Below are 11,430 nucleotides of genomic sequence, written 5' to 3'. Positions count from 1 at the left end.
TTTGGAAGTTAGATAAAGATTCAGTATTGGGGCTATTGTCTTGTGTGACTGACATTTATTTCATTGTCTTTAATCCTTTTGCTGTCTTCCTGTGGAAAGTGTATTTCCTGATGGTGTTGGCCAATTCGCTCCTTTCACTTTAAAACAATCATCACTTCCTGCTTTTAAGTAAGATTTGCTTTTGGTTTTCTGCACTCAGATGAACTATGATTTATTTTTGTTATGTCATCACGTTTAAAATATTTCCTTTTGATGTTTTATTTTCAAGCTGTCCAAATTTTCTTTCAATGTTGTTCTAATCTTCAAGATTGCCAGTTTTGCCATCAGATTAGGTTTTTTTTTTTTCTGTTTGTGTTGATTGTTCTCTAAATGATGCTCACCTAAATCTCAATTAATAAAATTCAGAGGCAAACCGTTTTTAGTCACAGGGGCCTTTAAATTGAATACAGCTGTGTCATGTGCTGCTTTCATTGTCAATGGCATATGATGTGCCACTACCCTTTACTGTTTCCAGTTTGGCAAATCAGTCCCATTATATCAGGGTGATGATGATTCCTGCTGGAAATGTCTCTGAGGCAGATAAATGATAACTGTAATACAAAATGATTCTAGTTCCATTAAGAAATGTTAAGATTATTAAGGACATTATTCTTAATCCTCAAGGAAACATATGATGGGACATAAATGAATGCATGCTCCGGAGTACATTTATTTATAAGACAATGACTTCCATCAAATAATCAGTACATTTAAAAGAGTCACTTTCACTAGAGTTGGCTTCATGCTCCTGCATGGGGGTCTTTGTAGTCCAAGGCAAGAGAGAAAAACTGTAGTGTCTATATTAATGACTTTCTAGAAAATTGAGGCAAAAAAAATAAGCATACTAAAAAAAGCACATTAAACAATATATATTTGAAATCCTAAAAATTATGTGTTAGAATTGTTCAATGAGATGAAAAGACTGATGAATGACTTTATTGTCTTTAAGGATATTAAGAAGCATTACTAAGAAAATGCCTACCAGCTGTTCTACATTTCCAAAATGAGTATGAGCTAAGCAGTAAATGGAATTCAAATTCACCTGTTGGAAGGCAGGGAACCAGATCAAAAGACCTTTTGAGATGACCTCCAGCTCAAAGATTATATAGAAAACAAAATGTCTTACTTTAAGATCATTGAACTATACATGCTGTCAGATGAGTTGAGAGTCTATGTATGGAATAATGGTAACATATTTCCAGTGATTTCCTTCATATAAATGAAGTTATTAACCTTCAATCACAAAAGCATATACTTTTGGTTGGTTGTCCACTAGTGGTGCTTTATTTATATTCTATTCAATGCAGGTTGTTTCCAACTTTAAGGGCAAGTAAACTTAACTGACTTACGTAGGGTTTGAACTCATAACCCTTGACTCATTAGCACTAAGCAAAATGAGCTAGCCACCAGAACCAAGCCACACCAGAATATTTTAGACCAAAAAAAGTTAATCTGTACATATTTTGTCAGAGGCAAAATAAATGAATTAGGCATTATAAATAAAGTAAGCATAATAAATTATTGAGCCCTTTGTATTTCTTGGGATTCTGAGCCTATATAGGGGTTTCATAGGAGAGAGATATGGATAGAGTCTTTCATGCCTGACAACTGATGAAACTTTTAGAATGAGGCAAAGGTTTTAGTCAAGACTCAAGATAAAATGACTGAAGCTTGCAGAAAGAAAAGGTGATTTTCTTTCTGACCCGATTTGCTGATTCCAAATGCAACCCACTGATTCTTTTTCATTAAACCACTAGCCACCATGGTAACCATTTTATATTATTATTCAACGTGGTCAGCAGTTGAGCCAGTTTTCAAGGGGCGATAGTTTTAGAATAGCATTAACAAAAAAATTTCTTCAGTCAAGATAAGCATTTTCTAGAATAAAAGACTTGGCTTGAAGCCTTTCTGTTTAGTGCAAAAAGCAAAAGATAAATCAGATATATTCCCACTGTGGAGTAAGTAGAAGATGGCAGTGTATTTTTGTAGGCATAGAAATGGGAATTAAATAACCCATATATCTTCTTCCTACAAAGCGAGGAAACCTTGGAGAGCAGACACATTTACCTTCTGCAGGGCTTCAAGTACCAAATTCAATTCAAAGAAGAAAGGCACAGAGCAAAAGTAATACTTTGGATTACAACAATAAAGAGTGATGGCAGATTCCCATTCCCATCCCAATGAAGTAAATGCTATCCTAGAGGGAGTTAAAATAGAAAATGGAGGCTGACAATTTTATTCACCAAGGGAATAAATAGATAATACAATAATTTATTTTCATGTGTTATTTCTAGCATTCCCTTAGATACAATAGTGGGCATTATTGCAATTTCATAAATGCTTCCCAGAGAAAAGAACATGATACAGTATAGATGGTTTTTACAAATGTCAAGTAGATATATTACTGGATTATAGAATTTATAGAAGTCAGGCAAGATTGCTAATAGAGTGTGAATATTGAATGTCCTTTAGAGAATAGCTATTTTCCCTTTAAATGGAGGATTTTTCATCCTCTTCAGAGCTCTAGAAAAGTTCACTGAGTCCCCAAGAATCCTGATTATGGGCTCATATGATTCATCTGAAGGGCAGGAGGACTAGGAAAAGACAGAGAAGAAAGGCTGGCCAAGTTACCTACTGCCTTTCATCTCAATAGGAGCCAGTAAACCTGTTAAGGCATCTCTCATTTTTCTCTGAGCCCTGGTGAGTAGAGCCTGAATGGCAGACTGTGAAATTCCAGTCTATCACAGCCTCCTGATTCATACTTGACTGACCAGCTCTAGATTTCTGCTGAGTCCTGTCAATTAGCTTCCTTAACCTGGAATGGATTCAGAATTCCTAGAGTTTAATCATTTTCATACAAAAGAGACAGTAAAATGCTTTTCTTTTCTCCAACATCTCTAAAATGTGCAAATACAATTATGATAATTTAATTCAGTCTGCCTAGTTCTCAATTATTTCTATTATTATTTTTTGAGACAGGTTATTACTCTGTCACCCAGTCTAGTGTGCGGTGGTGCAATCATGGATCACTAAAGCCTCAACTTCCTGGTCTCAGGGCTCCAGCAATTATGATCATCTCACCTCAACCTCCTGAGTAACTGGGACTACAGGCACGTGACACCACACCTGGCTAATTATTTAGTTTTTTGTGGAAATGAAATATCGTTATGTTGCCCAGGCTACTCATGAACTCCCAGGCTCAAGTGATCCTCCTACCTGAGCCTACAAATTGCTGGGATTACAGGTATGAGCCACCACACCAGGCCTCAACTTTGATATTATAGGACAATAAATACCCTTTCCTGTTGAATAGGTGCCAAAGGAAGAAAAAAATGCCTTCTAAACAACTGTTTTTAAGGCCCATTTCTAATTGTGACTTGCTCAGATTTGATCATATGCATATTTATCAGTAAGGATTCTTACATAGAGAAGTTACAGTGGAAGATAATTCACATTGATTCATTGTCTGCTTTGGTTCACTATGATAGGGACCTTATATATTTGTTAATCCACATTTTATAGATACATGGCTTCTATCTCTATGATTTCTAAGAGGTAGAGCTGAAGTTGGAATTCAGCTATGCTTGTTCTGATTCACTGCATAAACAGAAGGTGGAAGGAATAAAGGAGTGGTAAGTATGTAATGTGGATGGCTTATCACCATCTGTATTACACCACTTCTCTAAAATATAAATTTTAAGTGTTCTCCTTGACAGTGAGGATAATTTTAGTAGTGGAAATAACACTAGGGATGAAGCCAATTGAGCTCCTTCTTAGTAACTATCTTCCACAAACTCAGCTTTCCTTTCTGTGAAACAGGAATAAAAACTGCATGGCATAGAGGAGAGTGGAAAGAGCATGAAGTGATTTTGAAGTCACTTTGTGCAACTGGTCAAGTTACTCAACTTAGCTTCAGGTTTTACATGCAGAAACTAAGTTTGGGTTTGAGAAATTACTTATACACACAAAGCCACAGGCTTTAATTTATGAATTTTGTTTCAACTATTGTGTTTCTTAATAGCATTTTATTGTTCTTTGAAGTCCTATGCTTTGTTCCAAATATTCCATAATATATCAGTCAAAATACGCTAGGTTACACTGAGGCAACCAACAATCCTAATATCTCAGCTGCTTGGAGCAGCAAAGAATGCTTCTCACCCATGCCCATTGTGAGTCAGCCAAGGCCCTGCTCCATACTGTCTTCACTCGGGATCCCAGGTTGGTAGAGTTTCTATCTTGAATATTGCCATTTATTATTGCAGCCATAAAAGAGATATGATGAACTCCATACTGGCTTTTAAAACTTCTGCCCCAAAGTGACACAATGTCACATACATGCAAGTGAAGCAAGTGAAGAAATCAATAGAAAGACATTGCTAAACAAGTCACAGAAGTCTTAGAAAAACTATCCTTTCCACAAAGGCCAAATTATTAATATTTTATTTTTTAAAAAAATGGATGTGTATAGTGTATGCTAGGTATGGAGAACATAGAAAAAAGCCATGAGCCCTACCTTAAGACGCCCTTAGTCTAGTGAAGGAGACAGATATATTGTCTTTTTATGTCAAATTGCAGGATTTGAAGTAGAAGTGAAAATGGAGAGGCATTTTTTTTTTTTTACTTTCTCTTTGAAGACTTTGGTGATGCTTTGGATCATGCTGTAGTATTAAGGGCAGTGTCAGTCATATCCATCTGCTCCATGAGCATTGAAACACGGAGGCTATCAATCTTAGAAAGTCGTTACAAACACAGTTTGCAGGTCTTCAATCATTCATTTACTTTGTCCTAAGTGGGAAAACCACAGAAGGAAATTTAATATTCATCTGAATATTACTGTCAATAATCAAGCAGCATCACTTTGACTGTTAAATAATAAGTTTGGAAATAGCCAACCCTAATTTTGAAGTACCTGCTATGCTACTTTAAATTAAATTATTGTTTTAAATGCAAATGTTAATATATCATGCATTTAATAATAATTAACAGCCCCTTATACAGTGTTGACTTAGATAGCATCTTAGTATATGATATCTAATCTAAGAAAAATGTGTTAAGTATAACCTACTCAGTGTCTAATCCCTCTGACTATGCATGCTTATTCTTGAAATCCAGGATGAACTAAAATTTCTCTACATTTAACCATGAATTAACAGAGAAAATGCCTCAAGTGCTGTCTTCCATTCTCTGTTTTGAAGCTTTCTTCATTTGGCCTCCTATACTTAATCTATTGAATTTTCACATAGATTCAACCCTCTGACTACCTTCTCTTTCACAAATGTCTTGGAGTATGTGCTTCTCTGTTGGTGATTCAGCACTTCCCTAGGTTGTTGTCTCACTCACCAGGTCTCTGTACCATGATTAGAGCCAGTAAATGTGCGGTGTCATCCTTCCAATTCTGGAGAGGTATAGGCTTGTAATGGTTGCTTATGATGTTTGTCACATATTTCCTGCTAACTTTTTTAAAGCATGTGCAGGATTGCCCACCACTGTTTCCTTTAATGTTAGGTATGACCATATGATGTGTTTTGACCAATGAAATATGAGCTGAATAGATGTGTGTAATATGCTGCTAGAAGTTTTAAGAGCCATTGCAAACTTTGCAACGTTCCCAAGTTTGTGCTACCCATCAAGTTATGGCCCCAATCACTCTAGGTCTGTGGATGACTATGAAAGCAGAGCCTGCTTGCAAACCTCAATTGAATGTCTACTGTGTATGAGAAATAAATGTCTGCTATTTTGAAACCACTGAAATATTATGTTATTTGTTAGATTTTCTATAATGTCAGCATCATACAGCCTATTTCGACTGATACAATGCTGAAATGAGATAAATTGTTTAGTTGTTTTTGTTTGTTATAAAAAACACATAATATAATTATTTTAGTAATTGGTTATACATGTGTTAAAATGAGAGTTTAGAGCCCATTTGATTTTTTTTTTGCCTTTTAAAAAAATCTTTCTTACATCATTAAAAAAGAAAAATAAGCCTTCTGATGAAATTCTGTTCATGAGTTAAACAAAATCCCAAAAAAGGTAATTTTAAATACGTTCAGATAAATATCTTAACTTTCTTCCAAGGAATTATATGTGGAAATTCTCTGCCAGAATGATTGTATCTCTAAGAAATACTTTGACATTTACAAGGCCAACATAAACTTAGTATTGGAATTTGCAGATCATTCTCAGAGCATAAGATTAAAGGAAAGAGCTTTAAAAGTTTTCAGCTGGTATATGTCAGCATGTCCACCTAAATAAAGAGAAAAAGGCTGAAGGCTCACAACTTTTATTTTGTATAAAGGAATAACCTTATTTATCTCCAGATCACTGACTTTTATCTACCTTAAGTCAATTTACTAAGGTTTTTTATGGCTTTTATGAAAAAGTTGGTGGTCTGGACTAGACATAATATCAAATAGGCAGATGTATAAGTCATAAAAGCAAAGGCTTGAAAGACTGAATATGTTGTGGCTACATAAAAGGAACTAACAGCGAAGGGAAAGTGACCAGGTAAATCATGTCACTGGGCAGTTAATGAACACTAGGAAGAAAATAGCCTGAAGCACTTGCTTAGAGCATTCTTCTTTATCAGTTTCACTATATATATGTAAAAAATTTCAAAACTAGAATTTACTTTGAAAACTAAGTTCTTTACTGACCATCAGCTCATTAACTGCTATTGTCTGTGTCCGTATGTTTGTTTTTATAAATTGGTGAAAGACCAGTGAGATTGAGTAAATGTTCAAATTTCCTGGCTCCATCTTTGGGACCTTATTCAAGGGATCTCTGTGGGCACCAGGAATCCTATTTTAAAGCTATTATGCTATGAAAGACTTTTACCTTGTTTGATTAGGAACAAGATCCAGGCTAATGGAACGTCGTGCTTGTAGCAGGTACTCTGTTCATATTTGCGAAAAGTGCGCAGGTATGTGCTTGTGCATTTAGATGTATATCTATCTTCTGGGTGTACTCAAGATTTTTTCTATTAAGTTAATTAACTGAAAACACCTGAAAGCTGTGCATGACATGATGTAGAAGGCACTTTTCTTAAATGAAAAACCTGCACATTTTGACATTTTTGACATTTCTAGACTCCTTTTGGTCTTGTGTTTTGCATATTAAAATATGGTTTAATAATACCTACATTAGACAATTTTGGTTCTTAGGGTAGAAAAGGACTGTTTTTCTTAGCCTATGGAGTTAACTGCCCCACCTCCTTCTTAAAATAGAAGTGCTTTCTACTGATGATATAACTTTCTTCAGAAACCATCTACTCCCTTGTTCTATTTTATAAGACTTTATTCCCTTTCTCTTAACTTTAAATTTATGTTATTTCAGTTTGATAAACAATAGCATCAAGTTTATAGTCAGGGCAACATGGATAAAAATATTTAAATGTAATCACTTCACCTTGTCATAAACAGTAGTAGTATTATAGGATTTAACTGGTAGAAGTCCAAAATGCATATAAATATTATCTAGTGGAATGTTATGAATAAAACAGTAAGGCTTCTAAATGAAAAAAAAAAGTACTATAAATAAAATGATACCTACAGACACTTAGCTATGAAACTAAGTTTAAGCCAGGCTTAGATGTTTATAAATAATATTTATGTTGTAAACATAACTACTAATTTTTAAAATATGCCAGCTCCTCATAATTTGAGTCATCAGGATGGCAAACTATTTGAAGAAAGAATACTCCCATATGGCCGTGCACGGTGGCTCACACCTGTAATCCCAGCACTTTGGGAGGCTGAGGCAGGTGGATCACGAGGTGAGGAGATGGAGACCATCCTGGCTAACATGGGGAAACCCCGTCTCTACTAAAAATACAAAAAATTAGCCGGGCCTGGTGGCGGACGCTTGTAGTCCCAGCTACTTGGGAGGCTGAGGCAGGAGAATGGTGTGAACCCCAGTGGCGGAGCTTGCAGTGAGCCAAGATGGCGCCACTGCACTCCAGCCTGGGCGACAGAGCGAGACTCCACCTCAAAAAAAAAAAAAAAAAAAGGAAAAGGATACTCCCATACAACTTCCAGAAGAACATTTAAATCACCAAGTAGAATGTTAAAAACATTGGAGGTGTTTTTGTCAAGCCCATCATTACAGAATGATCACTTTATCTGTTTTTCTTCATGACTGATTATGTCTTTTTTATTTTCAATGTCTTATTTTGCACCTGTCGGAGGTAGACATTACTAGAAGCAAAAACAAAAGTGAGGAAATGAGTCAGTGGCATCAGTTCAGAGTCAATGTGAAAAGAATGATCTGCCCCCATTCTTCTACAATGTCCCAAGGTAAAAAAAAAAATTATGTGAAACTGTGCAAAGGTATATGCTCAAGCCTGTATCACTACTGAATTGTAGGTAATCAAAGACTCTGCTCTGAAATTATAAGACAACGTAGTCAAGTAGAAGAAAATAAACTGTGGTCTACTTTCCAGTAAGATCCCCTTTTTATCCCAAAGTGTGTTGAAGGATGTTAATTGTCATATTTAGCCGAATCATTATCATCAACACCATTGCCAGGCACATTCATGAGGTTTCAATATGCTTGTGGAATATTTGAAGTAAAACAGTTTTGCACTCCAACTTCTAGAAGCAAACTTTTTGTAAATTCAGGTTTATTGACATAAAATTTACAGATAATAAAATCTACTCATTTTTAGATGTACAGTTTTATAAATTTTGACAAATGTATGTAGTTCGGTAACCACCCCTAAAATTTCCCTTATGCCCTTTTGTAGTTAATCTCCTCCTCCAACCCCTCACACTTAGAAACCATTGATATAATTTTTGTCTCTATTGTTTTACATTTTCCAGAATGTCAAATACATGGAATCATACACTATATAGTCTTCTATATCTGGTGTTCTTCACTTAGCATAATACTTTTGACATTATTCTTGCTGTTTCATGTACCACTAGTTACTTTTTTTTTTTTTTTTTTTTTTTTTTTTGAGATGGAGTCTTGCCCTGTTGCCCAGCCTGGAGTGCAGTGGCACGATCTCGGCTCACTGTAAGCTCTGCCTCCCGGGTTCACGCCATTCTCCTGCCTCAGCCTCCCGAGTAACTGGGACTACAGGCACCCGCCACCACTTCTGGCTAATTTTTTGTATTTTTAGTAGAGACAGGGTTTCACCATGTTAGCCAGGATGGTCTCCATCTCCTGACCTCGTGATCCGCCCGCCTCAGCCTCCCAAAGTGCTGGGAAAACAGGTATGAGCCACCGCGTGGGCCTAGTTACTCATTTTTTATTAATAAATAGCTTGTCATTGGATCGTTATACTACAGCACTGTTTCCGTGTAGCACTTGATTGACACTTGGTTTATTTCCACGTGTGGACAATTATGAGTAAAGCTGATTTAAACTTTTGCATACAGGTCTTGCTAATTTCAAGCTTTTAAATTATTACCTTAACTCAATGCCAGATGAACATGTGATATAGTTTGGATGTTTGTCCCCTTCAAATCTCACATTGAAATGTGATCTGCAATGTTAGAAGTAGGGTCTAGTGGGAAGTGTTTGGAACATTGGGGAAGATTTCTTATGAATAAGTTAGTGTCCCCTCCCCGCCCCATAGTAATCAGCAAGTTCTGGTGGTATTAGTTCACATGAGAGCTGTTTGTTTAATGGAGGCTGGCACCTCCTCCCCTCTCTTACTTTCTCTCTTGCCACTTGACACGCCTGCCTCCCCCTTCACATTCTGCCATGAGTAAAAGCTTTCTGAGGCCTCATGAGAAGCTGAGCAGATGCTAGTGCCATGCTTGCACAAGCTGCAAAACTGTGAGCCAAATAAACCTATTTTCTTTGTAAATTATCCAGCCTCAGGTATTCCTTTATAGCAATGCAAAATGGACTAATATACCATGAAATGTATATAGTAGCTGCTTAATTTTTTATATGGAATGAATGATAATTACATCAATAATATTGTTTTACTTATTTTTTATTTTATGTATTTTATTGTATTTATCAGTTTCTTTAAAACACATTGTCTCACTCTATTTTCTAGGATGGAGAGCAGTGGCTATTTACAGGCATCATCCTAGTGCACTATAGCCTTGAACTCCTCGGCTTAACTCGTCCTCCCACTTCAGCCTATTGAGTGGCTGGGACTATAGGCATGCACTATTGTGCCTTACTTAATGTTTTATTTCACATATACAGAATAGCATGTGTAATACATAGGCTGAACTCTATAATGTTATCACATATATATAAAGCATAATATAGTAGCATTTATTGTTAATAACACAACAACTATCAAAAGTAGAGGCATGGAGAAATGCCACAAAATGACCATCATTGTTATTATTAACATTATTAGCATTATTTATATTTCAATGACAATGTGAAGACTCTCACCTAATTTATACTCTCTACTATTCTTGACTTGGGTCGTTTAGACAATAGAAGACTGTTTTGAGTAAGAAAAACATGTTTCCATAGCTCCAAGAAAATTAAAAAGCTTTACTGATATCATCAGCTCTGTAGTCATGTTCCAAAAATAAGAAGGCTTAAATTTTCCATTCCCCTGCAAAAGGTGATGGGATCCACATTTCTCCAGTTGACCACTTCCCCTTCTACTGTTTCTTGCCAGGGAAAGAAAAGGACTTTGATACCCAGGACAATTATTCTATCATTAAGTAAGTTTCTTTAAAAAAACACAGTTATGCAATTAAAAAAAAAAAAAAGTATGTTCTGCTTCTCCAGGTCTCACTACCTAAAATTTTGGGAGCTAAACTGGTCTGAGCTGACTACATAGGTAGTTTTTTGTTTGTTTTGTTTTGTTTTGTTTTGTTTGAGATGGAGCTCACTCTGTTGCCCAGGCTGGAGTGCAGTGGCGCGATTTTGGCTTGCTACAGCCTCCACTTCCCCAGCTCCAGTGATTCCCCTGCCTCAGCCTCCCAGGTAGCTGGGATTACAGGCACATGCCACCATGCCCGGCTAATTTTTGTATTTTTAGTAGAGACAGGGTTTCGCCATGTTGGCCAGGCTGGTCTCAAACTCCTGACCTCAGGTGATCTGCCCGCCTCAGCCTTCCATAGTGCTGGGATTACAGGGGTAAGCCACAGCACCCAGCCTCATAGGTAGTTATAAATTGGCCTATCATCACATGATATGAAGTTAGTGTTATGGAAAAACATTTTCTCATTTTACCAACTCACCCCATAATTCTTAGGAATATTCCCTTCAAGTCCACAGGAACTTCAGTTCTCATCATTATATCCAGTGATTTGATTAAGAATAGGGTCCCTCTAAAGTGCAAATAGCCATTTCCAAGTCTGCTCTGTGTTTAATATTTCTTTAGCAGATTTTTCATTTAATATTAAGATTTATGACACTATCGTAAATTCTACTTAGCCATGGAAAAATGGCACCCTCTAGAGG

The 11,430-nt window shown here is 36.3% G+C and overlaps 1 long non-coding RNA gene across 1 annotated transcript in view; it reads right to left on the bottom strand.

Moving 5' to 3' along the window:
- Window positions 1-4,641: 4,641 nt before the first annotated feature.
- The window catches only part of DISC1FP1 (DISC1 fusion partner 1), a 663,821-nt gene continuing 657,032 nt past the window's right edge, over window positions 4,642-11,430 (bottom strand). Inside the window, exon 7 of the long non-coding RNA NR_104190.1 lies at window positions 4,642-4,824. This is a non-coding gene — a long non-coding RNA (DISC1 fusion partner 1). The remainder of the gene's footprint in view (window positions 4,825-11,430) is intronic.

Source organism: Homo sapiens, chromosome 11, assembly GCF_000001405.40.
Source record: "Homo sapiens chromosome 11, GRCh38.p14 Primary Assembly".
NCBI lineage: Eukaryota > Metazoa > Chordata > Mammalia > Primates > Hominidae > Homo > Homo sapiens.
This window is presented reverse-complemented; position numbering and strand designations above follow the sequence as displayed.